Raw genomic sequence first — 19386 nt, 5'->3', positions numbered from 1 at the left:
AAATAAGGGACTATTTTTAAAAGACCTGTTATTTCTGGGATAGTACCACTTTATATAAAATTAAAATAATAAATATATAGAAATGCAATTACCAATTATTTATTTTTATTCTCTGACAGGTATTTTCTCTGAGGGACTTAGAACAGGCACCAAAAAAAAAGGATGATGCTAAAAATTGATATGTAAAAAGCTGATACCCAAATATCTGGTATTGTGTTGGAGGAATAAACGTGTCAGTTCAACTGTTAACTCTTTATGAAATAGTGAAAATAGTCTATAATTTCTTTCATATTCCAAAAATAACAATTACTTTAAAAATAAATCTAAAATTTACTGCCAAGTTAAATACTATGAAATAAAATGTAAATGTCAAATTCTAATGCTAACTCTGTGAAACAGGCAGTGAAAGTACTACCTAATGCAAAGGCCATATTTGACCTTCACAATGATATTAATTATATGAACTTGTCTTTTGAGTCTAAGTGTTAAAATAAAAGTTAATCATTATGTGTCAATTCAAAATAAAAATATAAAAATTAAAAAGCACATTAAAAATAAATACTGATTAAGAATTTATCATTAATAATTAGCATTCAAATTGAGATGTGCTCTAAATGTAAAATATACATAATCTTTCAAAAACATGGTAGGAATAATAATTAATAGCTTTTATGTTAAATACAAATTGAAATTATATGTTTTGAATATATTATGTAAAATGTATGATAAAAGTTAAAGAAAAATAAAAATATTACATACTTGTTTCCTTACATATGAATAATTTTTCTCAAATTGATTTTTTAAAAAGAGGTCTCAAAATGATTTTCATTTTGTTTTAAAATCCTCTTTAGTATTTTAAATGTTAATTTCAATCATATTATTTTGGACAACAAATGTTTTTAAAATGTATCAGATGAATTTATTTTGGGAGGGGGATCAAACTGTGGTAACATTTTAAATGTTAATCATTTAAAGAAACATTGATATGAAGAATCCTTTTGTAATCTGAGAATCATCTCTAAGTATTTTTTAGAATTGTAATTTAAATTTTTACATAAGAGTTTCCTTAAATCAACAAGGAACTAAACATGTTTAGTCTTGATTCATGTTAACATAAACTGATAAAATGAAACAAAGAATACAAAAAAGTATATAATCTGAGATTATCAGAACATATACTTTAATATATATTTTGAGATTAATATGAGAATATGTACTTTTTGAACTATATATTTGAACTCTGTCTATATATAATATATATAATTGGAATATATATAAATGTATACACACATAGTTCAAATATTAGGGGTATGTTTTTCTAGCATTTTTTGTTTTCTATTGTCGACATGAAGTAGGATTACAATATAACTTTATTAAGATGGAATTAATGATACAAACAAAATTATTTTAATCTTTTACTAGCACAATAAAATGTATTTTAAAAATAAGACTATTTTATGGATATTTCTTAAAAATTTGTCCTCTTTAAATTCTTTATTTGTAGTTGGAATGATGCTTTTTTACATTTCTTATTTTCTATTTTCTTCAGTGGACTGAGGGGTGTCTATGATGATGATACTGTCAGGTGTATAACTTCTGATTACCCTGTATTCTAGCTACTTGCCAAATTAAATCAGCCAATATTTCTACAGCATCTACTTAATACCGGACCCTGGATATAGTCAGTTATTACTTTTGTTATAAATAAACAAATATCCATTTTGTATTTTTTTTCAATTGAAATGACCTTTGCTCTGTTACAAAGACAGAACTTCAGACGAATAAAAAAAAAACCCTAGTATTAACTGATTTATATTAGTTTTTTAGGGCTGCCATAATAAATTGCCACAGCCTCAGTGGCTTAAATAACAGAAACTTATTTTTTCAAAGTTCTGGAGGCTACCAGTCCAAGATCCAGGTGTTGACAGAGTCGTTTTCTTCTGTCCGAGCGTTCTTGCCTTGGCTTGGAAATGGTTGTCTTCTCCCTGTGTCTTTACATGGTCTTTCCTCTGTGTGTGTTTGTGTCTTACTCCTTTCTTAAAGGAGACCAGTCAGATTCAATCAGGACCATACTAGTGGCTTCGTTTAACCTTAATTACCTTCTTAAAGACCCTGTCTCCAAATACAGTCACAATGTGAGGTATTGGGAATTAGGATTTCAACATACAAATTCGAGGGGACACAATTTAACCCTTAGCACTCAGTCTGGGCAAGCTCATCCTGTTCTTGATAAACAATGAAAAAAATAGGTATAAGATTGCTACAGAAAGAAGTACGGACTGTCATATCAAAGGGAAATTTTCTGCCAATTATTATTGATTCTTGAAACTTGGTTTGGTTTCAATGATGCAGTCTGATAGTCTGCAGGTATAGGAGAGATACAGTTCAAAAATAAATAAAAGTCACTGTCTTAAGTGATAAACTGACCTTACTCCAGAAATGACTGTTAGTTATTATTCTACTTCTTAGACTTAAGAGATTGACCCTCCAATTTTTTCCTTTTATTGTAGTTCTATTTGAGTAAATGGCTTTGCCATCCTACCATTGCTTACTTGAGAAACTGCAGAATTGCTCTACGTTCCTCTGTTAACACTTTGCTCCATATTTCCTTATCATTCTCGTCTCACTCCATCATCAGCATCCAGTCAGTTTCCAAATCTCACAGATATATTTTTTACTAATATATGTACTGTCTGTTCCATCTATTCCATTCCTAGTATGGCTGACTTGGCTTCAATTCTCAACACTTTTATTGAAATCAACTCCTAATTGATTTATCTGACTCCAAACTGGCTGCTTCCAAATTATCCTCCCTTTTGCTGTCAAAGTGATTTTTTTAAAATACAACATTGATCAATCTATTTCATTTATCAGAGTCCTCAAATGACACTCAAATGACATCTTTTGAGTTTCAGTTCACATGCAAGGCTTTTCTTAAATTGGTTCCTAACTTAAAAATAAATATCTACTCTTTACCCTCACTCTTTATCATCACCATGTAAGTCCTTCCCTCTAATGTGCTGCACTATATATACTTCTCTCTCTCTCTCTCGCTCTCTCTCTTTTTGGAGAAAGAGTCTCGCTTTGTCGAGCAGGCTGAGTGCAGTGGCAGTGGCGCGATCTTGGCTCACTGTAACCTCCACCTCCCGGGTTCAAGCGATTTTCCTGACTCAGCCTCCCAAGTAGCTAGGACTACAAGCATGCGCCACCATGCCCAGCTAACTTTCGTATTTTTTTGGTGGAGAATGGGTTTCACCATGTTGGTCAGGCTGGCTTTGAAGTCCTGACCTCAGGTGATCCACCCACCTCAGCCTCCCGAAGTGCTAGTATTACTGGTGTGAGCCACTACACCTGACCTACGTCTCTGAATTCGTCATACAGTTTCATCCCTCAAAAGTTTTGTTTAAGATGCTTTTTATGTTTAATGCTATTTTACCTCCATCCCCTTCATTAGGCTAACTCCTATTTGCTTTTAACAAATCATCAAGATTTTTCCAAGAACCGTTTCATGAAAATGTTCATTCTCATTGAGATACCTGTATGTTGCAAGTTAATGGAGACAAGAATGAACTATAAGAAATTTGGAATCTAGATGATTTTATGGAACAAAATTATAGCTGTGTGATTTACTCTAGCATTTAGGGAGATGAAATATCTAATCTTAGATATTTCTGTAGTTCAATAAGGTATATAGTCAATCGTTACAGTGTTATTTTCCAGATCTTACAAAAAATTGCTCTCTTAGAATAAAAAACTTTAAATGTTAATATTAAAAGTTTAGATCTTGTGAGATTCAGAGTAGAATTGAAAGCCTTGTGGAATTGTGCAGTCACCAGTTGTTAGATTAAAATTTAAGAGAGAAGATCATTTTTCAATTATAATTGAGCACTGATTCAACATCTGCATTAACTGTTTTAGTTATATCTAAATTTCTTCTGCCTTTTTTGTGATCCTATTAAGGTCCAAACACATAATCCATCTACAAGTCACATTATTCAATCAGATGGAATTGAACAAGACAGTATCACAGGCTGGTTTTTCATTGCTCATTCTCTAGAGGCAGCTGCTTTGCTGTGCAATTCAGTGGATGCTCAGGCTGAGAACTAACATAAACCAATCACTGGTTGGCTTCACATAAGACAAGGAGTTCAATCTGAAATTCAGATCCTTAGCACTAACACATTGACATGTGACCTTAAGACATTAGACCAATATTATTTACCATACTTTTCCAATAAATGTGATTCTTTACACACACACACACACACACACACACACACACACAATCTAAATGTATCTTTACTTGTGTATTTCATAGACCATTATGTAATTACATTCATAGCACAGAAAATTGAAACAGCTATGCCTTATATAGACTTTATATATATATATATAAAATTATATATATGCAAACCAAAGTAAAAAAATGAACAAAAAAAGTTAGCATATGTGCATTATTTGTTTGGTTTTAAAAGTATGCTATTACTTATATAATTTGATTTTGATAAAAAAAATAGTGAGATCCTTTTGCAATGCATGTGACATTCACAAGAACATCATCTGTGTAGACAGTTTCTATTTAGTTTTCTTACATTTTATTTGCTTTCACTCTATACCCATACTGTCTATAGGCAAACACTATAGTATAAACCCAGTTGACACAGCTGGAGATCACAAAGTAATTGCATCAACTGTACCTTAATCTTGGTTTTGTGGACCATTAAAGGAGGAGGATGCCTTGTATGCTAAAGATGCCAGTTTTACTCAATAACTTTACCTTTTTTAGCTGTGAAAATTTTTATGGCACTATTGAATCTAAATATTTATAGTTCATTCAATCTGTAACAATGAGCTTGTTTACAGAGTGTCTTAAAACATGTCATACGATTAACATAAAACACTGTAAAATGCCTTCTGGGAAAAAATAGGACTGTAAGTTTTTTATTGAATTTTTCCAGTTTCTTTCTAGTATATTTTATGACTATTAAACACCTGAAATAAGAATTTATATTGGAAAAGTTGGCAGGATTCCATTTAGTCAAGTTAGGACTGTAAATAGAATAGTAACTACTTAAACCAGCATTATTTAAAAATATATATTATTTAAAAGTACTATAAACATACATGATGCATATATAGATATATATTTATATTATATATAATATATATTTATATACATAAGTATCATATATATATATATATATATATATATATACGATAGCAACTTTTTTGTTTTTCAGCAATAGATTCACTTGATTCATTATAATTTGTATATAATTAAGTATGGCATTCTAGAATTTCTATCCCTGGAAAGGAACTTAGCTATTATCTCTCAGTGCATTCATTTTACAAATGATAAATTAAGTGATGCACAATTCCAAGTAGTTAATGGCAAAGCTAGGAGAAAATTTAGGAAGCAGAGTTTGTAATCAAAACCCTCAGTGATTCCATTACTCAGTCATATTGTCATGTACTCAATAGTGCCTCCTTATTTGTTTTAAATATTAATAATTTTGTATTCAAATTTCTCTTTGCTTTTTTTCATTTATAACAATTCAGGTATGGTTACTCAGTGTTCTGAATTGTTCAGTTGGAATTTGAGAAATACTATCAGTATATTTTAAGAACTTGTATTTATTTGCTATGTGTCTATTTAAAATTAGTAGGTATTAGGCAATATTAGAGATGCTCCTACTTAAAAATAATTTACAAAAAAACTCAGAAACTAATTTTATTATCAGTTATTTATATTATTTCATGACATGTAAAAATAAATATTTTCAAGTTTAGAAGTACTAATAATACTTATGATGATTTTAAATATGGTTGTCTAGATGAATATTTTCTACTTCTGCTTTATGTTATGCTTCATCATAAATTAAAGAAGATGTTTCCTTATTTGGGTGTTACTAGGACATACTAGCATATTACATGTATTTTTAAAGCACTATTTGAGAGAGTGAATGAATTAAAAACGATTAAATAAAATGAGTAAAAAACTTGCATAAATATAGCACAATCTGAGATATCAGTGGAGATATTTCTGAAGTCCACAAAATTTATCGTGAAGATGAATAAACATAATATTTCATTTATGTCAGCACAATTTTTATTAGTGGATGTGTGTTTTTGAGTCATTTTTGTGATGTAATGTTGCTCATTTTTGTGGTGATAATGAGACATTCTAGATGAAGATTAACAGGTAGTTGGCAATAAGAAATTAAATGTCAAAATATGGATCAAAAGGGGATCAGCTTAAAACACTAAAAAGAAGATTTAAAATGAGATGCCCAAAAGGAGACTTGAAAGGCTCAAACATTAATCTGATCATCTAGGATACCTGTGTGACTGTCCAGGAAAGACCTGAGGAGAAGGCCCTGCTATTTCAAATATGGTTGACTTTGAGGATCTACCTAGCAAAAAGTGAGAGCTAAGACAGTGTTGTAAACTGTAGGAGTGTTGAAAGTGTTTGCCAAGGCACACAGAAAGTCTCTTGGGATACTAATTGGTTCCATTCAATTCCAAGATTTAAGGAAATCTCACTCTAATCATTTACTGATCATTAACCTAACCAGAGACCTCATTGGCCACAGGCAGCAAAGACTACTTACTTAGAGAATTACTTCAAGGAAATCACTAAATGAACAAGCACCAACAACTACAAAGAAAAATAACAGTAGGCCTGGCGGAAGGGGAGGATAGTATCTGATTTCAGGGTTGTTATTTAATATGTTCAACTTTCAACAAAAATACTTTCAACATCATGAGACAACAAAAAAAAATGAAAATTAAGTGCCATACAAAGTAAAAAGCAAAGCAAAACAGTTAAGAGGATCTGTCCTTGAAGAAGCACAGACATTGGACTTCCCCAACAAAGACATTAAATGAACAATTATGGTTATGTTAAAAAAAACGTAAAAAACATGACTAAATAACTAACAGCAAGTATGACAATGTTGTCTTACCAAATAGAAAGTAGCAATAAAGATATATACTACTAAAAATACTAAATTGTAGTACTGTAGTTGAAAAGTATAACATACAATGAAAAATTGACTAGAGAAGTTCAACAAAGAATTTGAGCTGACAAAATAAAGAATCAGTGTACTTGAAGACAAATCAGTTGATATTATCTACAATGAGAATAAGGGGGAAAAATACATTAAAAAAAGTTGACAGCCTCAGTGCGGGACACCACCGAACATTCCAAAATAGGCATAATAGGAGTCCCAGAAAAAGTAAGGGCAGAAAACATATTTAACAAAGTAATGACTGAACACTTCTCAAAGTTGATGAAACACCTTAATCTACATGGTCAAGACTCTCAACAACTTAATCTGATAAACTTGTAAAATCTACATCCAGATACATCATAATCAAACATCAAAAAACAAAGACTATGAGAGAATCTTCAAAACTTCAAGAGTGAAGTGACTGATAACATATAAAGGATTCTCATTTAGATTAATAGCTGATTCCCTACCATATACTGTGGAGGGCATGAAGTAGTAGGGTAACATATTCATAGTTCTGGGGGGTAGGGGGAAAGACTTCATCTAAAAATTTTATAGCCAGCAAAACTGACTCTCAAATGCAAAGGAAACAGCCAGGTGCAGTGGCATGCACTTATAGACCCAGCTAATTAGGAGGCTGAAGTCGGAAGATAGCTGGAGTCCAGGATTTCAATACCAGCTTTGGGCAACATAATAAGACACCACTCTTAAAACAAAGAAAAATTAAGACATTCCCATATTTAAAAGAATGTTCACTAATAAAGTTCCCTTTCAAGAAATATAAAGTCTCTCAGATTGAAATGGAAGATTACTGGACACTAACTCAAATAAAGAACACTGGTACAGTTATCTGGGAAAGGTAAATATAAAAGATTGTTCTTGTTTATAATATTTCTCTTTTTAGATTAAAAACAAAATTGCATAAAACAATAATTATAAAACTGTGTTGATAGGCTCATAGTATGTAAAGATGTAATTTATACAACAATAATAGCTACAAGGTGGGAGGAGGGATTAGAGCTACATAAGATAACATTTTTGTGTAGGATTGACATGAAGTTAGTATTAATTTGAAAAAGGTTGTAATAAAGTAATAATAATTCTAAGAGTAACCACTAACGAAACCTATAAGGCTATAGTAAAAACATAAGATAAGTCAAATTTTAAAATAGTAAATATCTATTCAACTCAAAAAAGGCAGTAATGGAAGAATAACGTAATATTAATACAAAGGCAGAAAACGTAGAAAACAAATAGCAAAATAATAAATAAAAACAACTCAAATTTCCAGAAACTGATAGATAAACTGCGGCATGTCCATAAAAGGGAATGTTACTTGAAAAGAGGAATGAAGTACTAACACATGGTACAACGTGCATCAATCTTGAAGACATTATGATAAATGAAAGAAGCCAATTGAAAAAGGCCACATGTTGTATGGTTGAATTTAGGTGAAATGCCCAATTTTTACAAGGGGCCAGGAAAAGGGAAGGATAGAGAGTGACTGCCACTGGTTGCAGGGTAACTTTTAGGTGTCATGAAATTTTTCTGCAATTAGTAGTGATGGTTGGACAAGGCTGTGGCTGTACTAAGCCCACTGTATTGTAAATTTTAAAAGAATGGATTTTATATGTGAATTAATTAAATCCATTATAATTGATTTTATATGTGAACGGTGTGAACAGCTCAATAACTGTTATTTTTAAAGAAGAGAAATGTAAGCATAGAAATATAAATTTTTGAACCTTAAAAATAAATCCTAATTCTAAGGGTGAGAATGAACACAGTTTTAGACAGAAGAAAGAATGATACAAATAAAAATAAGTGCCAACCACACCACAGGTAGTAACCACAGTATTTACTAAGAAATTGCCTGCTAGGATTAAATATCTTAATTCTTATTAAATAACTTATACTCAATTCTAATTAACTAATTAACTTATTCCTTTCTTGGCACTTCTTACACTATTTGATTATATCTTTTCAAGTTATTAATTTTATTCCACCTTATGCTAGAGTTTAAATATTCTTAACCACTAATTTGCACTCTCCAAAGTGCAAAGATTATATCAAATATGTGTTTCTACACCCACAGGTTCAATATTTTGTGTATAATACTTTCTCAATAAGTATCTGTTAATAAAAAAATGAATATTGTGGTATAAATGTAGAATGAATTATTTCCACATTCTTTAATTTTTAAAGATTTTTGTAATTTAATTTCCATATTTTTATCAAGTTCTAAATAATCCCTGTTGATAAGATGCAAAGAAAGCTAGCATGACTTTTAAGTTATTAAATATGGAGTCGGGAGTTTTATGAATCAGATTTATGTGCTCAAACTTACAGGGAATTGAATGCTCAAGTTAAATGGCTATCAGCCCAGATATTACTCTAGGCCTGAGTGTAATTCTGAATTAATATGGTCATGACACACAGATTTATATTAAATTAGTTTCATGATGAAATAAAGTCCAGATGGAAGTAGCCACATTACATCAAGAGCAGAATATTTGGATTTTTCTCTTGTTTGCAGTTTCCAAAAGCTCTTGAAATTAAAACTCTTTAGGTAATTCTATTATTAAATATTACTAATGTTTTGATTTTATTGAAATCATACAAATTTATTGATAGGTGATGTTTAATGTATCCTTAGGAACACTTTTTTTTTTCTTAATATAAATGCATCAAACTCATGCTTTTTTTATTTTTAATCTGGATTTTTCTGGTGTCTTCATTTCTCATTCATCTTTGTAGGTAGGGATTTCTTTTGATACTAATTTTTCTAACAGAACATAATAGTTGGATCTATATATTTACTCTAAAAATTTCATATAAATTTCCTAACAATAATTCCTTTTAAGCTTATTGAGCTTTTTACTTATTTAGTATTACTATTACATTACTGTCTTTATATATGCACAGTTTTTAAAATGTGTTGACTTTTAAAATTAGCCTTTTGCTCACATTTTATTTGTTCTTTACCATGCAGTATAAATTACCAGTGGAGTAAAATTGAGTTTTGAAAAATGAATGAATGTAGTATAGATTTCCTGAGCCAGAAGATAACATAGAATAACAGCCTAATATTTACAGCCGATTTGTAAAATAGGTGTTTCTCTTTCAATCCTATAAGACTCTTCTTAACATTGAAATATAAGTAGGTCATTTTTCTTCTTCAAATATTTAAAAATAAACCACATCTCGCTTTGGTATATGTGTACTTTAATATGCTAACTGAATCTGTGTCTGTTTGTTTTTGTTTTTTTTTTTTTCCCAGGGGGACATTCAGCAGTTTTTGATCACAGGTGATCCCAAGGCAGCATATGACTACTGTGAGCATTATAGTCCAGACTGTGACTCTTCAGCACCCAAGGCTGCTCAAGCTCAGGAACCTCAGATAGATGAGGTGAGGAGCACAAGACCAGAGAAGGTCTTCGTATTTCAGTGATATGGACATCGCAGTGCAGTTTTTGAACTTATACTTATTTATTCCATTTTAATTAAGCTATGCTTTGTATTTTAATTGTGTTGTAATATTTCCAGGAAAAAGTGACTTGAATATATTTGGTACTTGTTTTCTTGCTGTTTAAGCATTTGATTACATAAATTTATTAGCAATAATGGTGCTTCACTTGTATACTGTGTATATGCACATATTCCATTTTGGAGGGGGTGAGAAGAAGATAATATGTAATAGCGATATTTCGACCATTAGCATTTAAATAATTAACAGCCTCAAGATAGAATAACATATTTTCTGGTGTACATGCCATCTCCCTAGGCCTTTGGCAATGCATACAAATGAGAAAGTGACATTAGAACTATCTTAAAGTTTTCAGGCTGTGTTGAACAATTAGAGGGTTTTTAAAAAAAATTTTCTCATAGGAAAATTTAAAAGCATGTGAAATGGAAGGAATTTAAGCCTCAGTTGGGAGCAAAACTATATTTTTGGATTTTTTTTTTTTGGATTTTGAATTTTTAAGACTTAGAGTTTTAAAAAGGAAGTAGAAATTTGAAAATATCAAAACTGTTCTAAAAATGAATCAGGTAGTATTTTTCTTCCCTTTTAAATGTACTATTAGGTGCCACCATTTGAGTTTTACTGTTTACAATGGGTCAAAATCTTTTATCTTAATTGTTAGTTCTGCATGTGAATTCAGGTCGGATTTTTCACTTTCAATGCTAGAAGTATGTTTTTGACACTACTTTACTTTTTAAGGTTTAATAATGAATTCTGTTGCACTGATATTTTCCATGACTTAATGTTAGTTTTTGTTTAAAAAACAGGGTAAAATTTTAAGAACCTAACAGGAAGGCAAATATGAGAGTGTAAAGATAAATTACTGGGATATTTTATTTACCTGTTTCACAGTTATCATGTACTTCATTCTTTTTATTCTCTCATGATTCACCAAATATGTTTTCTGTGAATTCTGAAGTGATAGATAAAATAATTATCAGGTTTAGTGTTTTTATATCTAAGAGGTTATGTGCTGACTTAATATTAAAATTTATAGCATTTACTGTATATTTTCAAGGTTGATGAGATCTGTTTTGCTCCTTTATAAAGAAAGATAAGGCATATTATTCTTTTTAGCAACAGATATGGCTCTGATTTTTGGAAGAAGGGAGGTTTGCATTCTTAATATATCACTTTGAGGTGTTTTGTTCCCATGTTGTAATGCTATTATGTCAGGTAAGCTGTTATTTTATCAAGGTAATTTGTATCCATCTTCTTAAGTTCATTTAAAAATGAACTTGCCATTTACTATTTTAGTTGTTGACATGTATATTTAACATTCTGTTGAGATGTCAAACTTGGTTTTACTAGAAGCATTTGATGAGAAAAACAGCACATTGTTACAGTAGAAACTGCATGACAATCTTGTTGGGTAATGCAATAATATATAGCATTTTTACCTTTTTTTAGATTGAGTAAGTCATAATGAAAAAGTTTTTTCTTTAAGAAAGAATTAGCTTTCCCTTTTTTCTCTAACTCTAAATTATGTTGATCCTTCAATAATAAGATAAGCATCTATACCAGCATCAAAAACTACTTAATTGAATTAGTAAGTAGTGCTTATATTAATTTTAAACTATATCTATTAATATGTCATTATATGATAACGCATATAAATAATTCATCTTCAGAAGTTCTACCTATATAAATTAATAATGCAATGTTGGTTGCCAATGAATAAAGAACATAAAGTGCAATATGGAGCATCAGCCATACATGTACTTTATATTACTTACTTGTTCACTAATAAACTTCTGGCATTGCATGTTTATTATTCTAATTTGGATTAATAAATATGTCAATTTATTTTATAAGTCAACCGATATGCTTTTTTCAGCTTATAATTTTGTCTACTTAGTATCCTCTAAGTAGCATATCCTAATCTATTCTTAAGATTCACATTGTTATATGCTTGACATAACTTTACAACCATCACCATGGAGAAAGAGATCTATAATGTAGACAGATTTTAATTTAATCATAATATCATCACATTTTAATTTTATTTGAACCTACACAGTGCCATTTAAATAGGTGACAAGCTAATATTAAAATTATGATGGAGTTGGGATTTTCTTATCAAGTGAAATTATCTTCCTATCTTATAAAAAATTAGATGTTAAATCTATATGATTCCTTTTGATATTCTTTCTTAAAAAAGGATGAAAACAGAAAATGAAGTGACAATCTTTTATAAAGGAATTTACAAAACAATTAGCTTTTCAAAATATATTATCTTTTCACTTAATATGTATCATACATTCATTAGATGCACAGGTTTTTACTGATGTCACCAGTTTTCTTACAAATTATGTAAGAACAGACATTATGACATTTCTGGAAGATCCTTTCTCCTAACCTACTCTAATTTCTGTTAGAATACCGACAAAGTTGAAATTATTCCATTACTGCCTGTCTTTTTGCATATATTTGTCTGATTGATTATAACTAGTTCTTTTTTCTCTACTTGTCTCAAGCCATCCTTAGAATTCCATAATGAGGGGAGAGAATTATCTCCAAAAATATGTTATGAGGCTTTACGTAGCAATGTATATATATTGCGAATATACTAAGCAATGTCTTGAGTATATTCATGACCACCACACGGAGGAAGCTGTGCAGATAAAGGAGAACCAGGAGTGAATAAGCTCTAAAAGAAAGATGTGCCGGCTGGGCGCAGTGACTCACGCCTGTAATCCCAACAATTTGGGAGGCCGAAGCGGGCGGATCACCTGAGGTCAGGAGTTCAAGAGCAGCCTGGCCAACTTGGTGAAACCCTCTCTCTACTAAAAATGTTTAAAAAATTAGCCGGGCATGGTGTCAGGCGCCTGTAATCCTAGCTACTCAGGAGGCTGAAGCAAGAGAATCGCTTGAACCCGGGAGGTGGAGGTTGCAGTGAGCCGAGATCATGCCACTTGCACTCCAGCCTGGGCGACAGAGCGCGACTCCATCTCAAAAACAAAACAAAACAAAACAAAAAACAAACAAACAAAAAACAGAAAGATGTGCTGTAGTGTCTAGGGCAGTTAACATGTTATTTCCTCCATTATTTCAAAACCAGCCTGGTTAGTCAACATTTGGAGAGTTTAAATAAAGGACAGAATTATGAAAGTTAGAAGATAATTTGTCCTATAAGAGAAAAAATGATATAAAATTGACTACTTTGGTACAGGTCTGTATATATCCTTGAATAGCAGATTTCAATTAAAATACGTTTAAGTTGTCCAGGTTTAAAATTGGCCCTTTATGCATTTACTTATTGTTTTTGTAATTCATAACTCCTCTTAAGCTACTAGAGCTTATTATTAGAAGGCACTGTGATCACAATTTTCTAAAACATTTGTGGTCAACAGTTCTTTTGCTGGAAGATTAAAAGGGAATGGTTAAAATGCAAAGAGAGATCCAGTTGAGACATAATTGGAATCGTATCAAATACACTACTTAAGGAATTATGTGTAGATTGCCCCTGGAAAATATATATTAAGTATACATATTATATGTATTATCATATATGTTTGCCCTAGGCAATTATATATAAATTGCCCCGGCATGCATGCATATATATATATATATATATATATATATATATATATATATATATATATTAGAGTTTTAACTTGTTGAGTTTACTGCTTTTTATGCTACATATGACTTAGTGTATTTAGTTATTTTTATTAAAAACTGAATTTAACTTATGTTTAATAATATCTATATCTTGATTGAAAATTAAAATTTTTATAAAGATATTGAGCTTTGGATTTGAGCACACTATTTTGCTCATTATTTAATATGTACAATTGTCTTTTAACTCCCTCTATTAAGAAACATATCTCTCCTTAATTAAAATCTTTTAATACAGAAGAAATTAGTATAAAATACTATTTCCAGTGTGAATTTATTATAAGTATTTTAAGAAAGCTAAGTGTTATGCCTTTTTTAATAGAGAAAAAGGCAGTGATTTTAAATATTAAAATTATGTATTAATTATAAGCACATCTAATTTTGAATCTTTTAATGTCTCACAAGGATTTTGTGCTCTTTTTGATCTTAGGAAAGTCTAAAGGAAATTAGGAATTTCTTAATACATTTTAGATTTTATTTTCCCATTGGTTACAGTATTTTAATACAGTATATACTTATTTCATATTCTTTGTATTCCCTTTCCCTCCTCCCCTCTTTCCCGTCTCTCAATAGATATGAAAATCCTTTCATACTTAGGAAGACTACTCTCTACATTTTTATTTTTAGATATGTAGCTTAATTTAAAATTCCCATTGAAATTACTGTAGCGCTCTTATAGAGAAACATTGCATAGCAATTTTTACAAATCAAAATTAATGAATATTTGACATCTATGTCCAAGTACATAATTACTGTGTTTCAATTAACATTCCATAATTAAGAGTTTGAATTATTATTCCAAATTTTTTGTTTTCTCGTGATACTAACTACTATTCTGCTCATAGGAAATGTGCTTTGTCACTCCTATGTTATTATACTCTGTATAAGACAGTATAATACTTCTATGTAATACAAAAATAACTCATCAATAACATTAATTTCTTATCTCTTAACATTTACACTATGTAAAAGTTAAGATGGTTCTCACTTTGTGAATAGTATTTTGCCACTAACACAATTGCCTGATATTTTTTCCTTTGCAATGTAGTATGCACCAGAGGATATAATCGAATATGACTATGAGTATGGGGAAGCAGAGTATAAAGAGGCTGAAAGTGTAACAGAGGGACCCACTGTAACTGAGGAGACAATAGCACAGACGGAGGTAAAAACAAAGCAGTGCCTGTGTATGTGGTGTCCTGCTGTTCGTCATCCTGTGGTTCCTTATGTTGACTGTTCCTCAAACTTACCATAAACCTTTCATTCATCTTATTTCTCTGAACCAATAACTGTGATTTTTATTTGACAGTAGCCGTTTTGAAGAATGATGTCCATTTCACTTTTGCTTAGCCTTCCTTTCATCTGTGCTCTATATTTCCCTCCTCGTTTATTTATGTTTTCCATTCCATCTTTCACCACATTTTACAGAAAAAGAAATCCAATTTCAAAAAGAAGATGAGGACAGTGGCTACTAAATCAAAGGAAAAATCCAAAAAGTTTACACCCCCCAAATCTGAAAAATTTTCATCCAAGAAGAAGAAAAGTTATCAAGCATCAGCAAAAGCCAAACTAGGGGTAAAGGTAGCGAAGAAAAAGCAATCAAGATCTATCCTAGATAAGCTGGAAGATCTCTGATCATGAATCATAGTCTTAACCCAACTAGATAAATACTCACTTGGCTAATACTATAACCCAATTAAATCATGATTTCCATACATTTGGGATCACCTTACATGTTTACTAATTCTCTTCTGAATTTACCATTAGGCAAACATCGTTGATGATTTTCAAGAATACAACTATGGAACAATGGAAAGTTACCAGACAGAAGCTCCTAGGCATGTTTCTGGGACAAATGAGGTAATACGTATAGACAGTATTAAATCACAGTCCCACTTTTTAAATATGTAATTTATTTTGATATACTTCACTCTGGAAGAATCTATAATTTCTCAAACATCTGATGTTTTTATTCTTTTACTAAAGTAAGAGAAACAATAGCAATGGTTCACTATTACTAAAAGCAGTTCATCTGAAATCAATGCCAATTCAGGTTTTGCGTGACTCTTTGCTTCATGCAGATGCTAAATTGATCAAACTGAATTGGCCGCTATTATTTTCTTAATTGCTCCTGGAATTGAGCAAGCTTTTCAACATGTTGTGACTAAGGGTATTCACAACATGTTTCTTCTGTGAGAAGAATCCTCTAAAGTGAAAATTGTATCATCGAAGGATACAATTAGAATTTTACTCCCTCTGATGAATAATCATGCATTTTATGACAGCAAGCATTTTGAGAAAATGTAGTCTTAGTGGACTTAAATAACTATTTACATTTTCAAACTTGTTAGGAATGTAATATTAATTCTTATTAAACTAATATATCTTAATCTTTCCATTATTTTCTATGAAAATATTTAAGTACATGTAGGTAAAAATTAATCTTCCTGAAATTCATATTTCACATGCATTCTGATCATGAAGAATACAACATACAATTCAGTTTAACTTTGTTAAATATCTGGTATACATTTTGGTATAATTTTATCAGGAAATGAATATAAGAAATGTAATTTAGTTTTAAGAAAATTTATGTAAAATGTCTCTCAATTAGGCAAATAGATTTATGTGAAAACACAAAATTGTGAATAATAAATGTTTAGGGTGAGAATGGATTTTAACTTTCTTTTAGATGAAATTAATAATTTTCAAAAAAAATGAGTATTTTGATTCAAGATGTCCATTTACCTAACCAAATTCATCCAGCATTTTAGTTCAGAGCTATGATTATAGCAATATTCTCACCATAGATATTATGCAGTCTCTGTAGACAGCATATACTCCTTATCTAAGAATACAAAAAAAATTACGGTTATTGGACATTTAATTTTAGTGAAAAATTACTCATCATTTATCTACATATTTTCATTCACAAGATTGTGTAATACTATTATCTAATATTACTCTATCATCTAGATTTACTATGGAATAGAAAATGAGTTACTTAAAAATGAAATTTACAAATTGGCAAGATAAGCCTAGGCAATACAATAAGATCCTGTCTTTACAAATAAATCAATCAATGAATAAGCTGGGCATGCTGGTGCATGCCTGTAGTCCCAGCTACACAGGAGGCTGAGGCAGGATGATCATGTAAGCCCAGGAGTCCCAGGCTGCAGTGAGGTATGATTGTACCACTCAACTCCAGCCTGGGTGACAGATTGAGACCCCATCTCAAAAAATAAAAAGTAGCAAGATAAGTTATTTAATTTGAGCCTCATCATGATCATAATAAAACCAAATATTCACATGATAAGTCGGATTCAGGTTTATTCTACTAGTAAGGAATTATGAGAAAAAAAGGTATCAGTTTTTGTCTATGTCTCTGAGGAAGTATTATTGACATAATTCTTACTTGTAAGTATTAATTAATATTTATTCCTTACTCTTCTTGAGAATTGTACAGTGATATTTTATATTTCATTGTCCTAAATGTTGCTAGCTATCATTTATTTTATTTGCTTTAAAGAACTCTTTGGTGTAATACTACTTCCCTACATATGAGATACTCTACATAATCATTGTAATGATACATCTCTATTTATACTGATATTGGCATATTATTATTTTATTTATGGGATGAGACTCAAACTTATATGGCTTATCCTTTTAGCAAATGTATTTCATAATGATGTTCTGTAAGATTTAAAAATTAGGCAAAGCTGCCAGGGTGTGGAGGCTCGCACATGTAATCCCAACACTTTGGGAGACCAAGGCGGGTGGATCACCTCAGGTCGGGAGTTCGAGACCAGCCTGATCAACATGGAGAAAACCCGTCTCTACCAAATATACAAAATTACCCAGGCATGGTGGTGCATGCCTGTAATCCTAGCTACTCGGGAGGCTGAGGCAGGAGAATCACTTGAACCCAGGAGGTGGAGGTTGCTGTGAACCAAGATTGCGCCCTTGCACAACAAGAGTGAAACTCCATCCATCTCAAAAAAAAAAAAGAAAGAAAAAAACATTAAGCAAAGCTTTAACTCCATACCTTTTTTATTGTTCAAATCTTAAACTGTGAAGTAAATATGAAATTGACTAACATGTTTTTTCCAATGGAACAAGCAAATACACATGTTAATTCCATGTGAATATTTGCAGTTTATTGGAGAAAGTGCTTTGAAAGCAATATCTCTTTGTACATAGCAATGTACAAATATATTTCTTTCAATGATACTGAAAGCCTACTTTCCAGGTGTTTAGAGTTGCTTGAGTAGTAACAAAATCGCATCCCATCACACGCTATCAAATTGTAATTTAAATGCTTACCTTGCTTTACTAACAATAAACTTCATGTTCCTCAATTCCTTGCAATTTAAATTAATAGCCAAATCCAGTTGAAGAAATATTTACTGAAGAATATCTAACGGGAGAGGATTATGATTCCCAGAGGAAAAATTCTGAGGATACACTATATGAAAACAAAGAAATAGACGGCAGGGATTCTGATCTTCTGGTAGATGGAGATTTAGGCGAATATGATTTTTATGAATATAAAGAATATGAAGATAAACCAACAAGCCCCCCTAATGAAGAATTTGGTCCAGGTGTACCAGCAGAAACTGATATTACAGAAACAAGCGTAAGTTGATACTATGCACTGTGTCATTGTATGTCTTATTTATGGGATATTTTTATGTCCATGTCCATCTTAATGTCTTTTCAGGTTTAAAATGCAGGTTGAATTTTTATGTAAATTATGAATGCCTATTACCACTAGGACACCTTGTTAGATTCTTTCACATGGGAATCTTCAGCAGTTGTATCTTTGGCCATACTTTTGGAGTCATTATTTGAAAGTAAAATCTTGAATAGAATTGCATCAGAAATTTTGTCATTGATAAGATTAAACCATAGTTGTTTTTATTCCAAGTAGCAAGTCTGATTTTTTATTTCTGATTTTTAGACTATTTTTTAAATTTAATTTGATGACATTTCTTAATGCCTGGGAATAATAACTGACATCTATAGATGTCATTATAAAACATGTTTATAAGAGGCAATCGTTCAATCTCATTTTAAGATTCAGTATTAATGCTTCTTATGCCTCTCTTTTAATTTTTGCCATATTTAAGCCTTCAATAGGTCTTCATATTTAAAAATATATTTTAATAGGTTGTTTTAAATGTGTTTAGTTTACTAAATTATCTTTTTAAAAACAAATGGCCGGCC

At 30.9% G+C, this 19386-nt stretch overlaps 1 protein-coding gene across 9 annotated transcripts in view; it reads left to right on the top strand.

Moving 5' to 3' along the window:
• The window catches only part of COL11A1 (collagen type XI alpha 1 chain), a 232050-nt gene that overhangs the window by 66985 nt on the left and 145679 nt on the right, over positions 1-19386 (top strand). For 3 of the 9 annotated variants that reach the window (NR_134980.2, XR_007085257.1, NM_001854.4), the window contains exons 5-8: positions 10294-10422; positions 15206-15322; positions 15925-16017; positions 18542-18796. Coding sequence is in view for 7 of the 9 variants with exons in the window: in NM_001854.4 (NP_001845.3) it covers positions 10294-10422; positions 15206-15322; positions 15925-16017; positions 18542-18796 (594 nt within the window). In the remaining 2 variants the exon portion in view is untranslated. Of the gene's footprint in view, positions 1-10293; positions 10423-15205; positions 15323-15585; positions 15739-15924; positions 16018-18541; positions 18797-19386 lie in introns of all 9 variants that reach the window. The other 6 variants (XM_017000334.2, XM_017000336.2, XM_017000335.2 and 3 more) reach the window with 5 other exon arrangements.

Source organism: Homo sapiens, chromosome 1 (genome assembly GCF_000001405.40).
Source record: "Homo sapiens chromosome 1, GRCh38.p14 Primary Assembly".
NCBI classification, from domain to species: Eukaryota; Metazoa; Chordata; class Mammalia; order Primates; family Hominidae; genus Homo; species Homo sapiens.
This window is presented reverse-complemented; position numbering and strand designations above follow the sequence as displayed.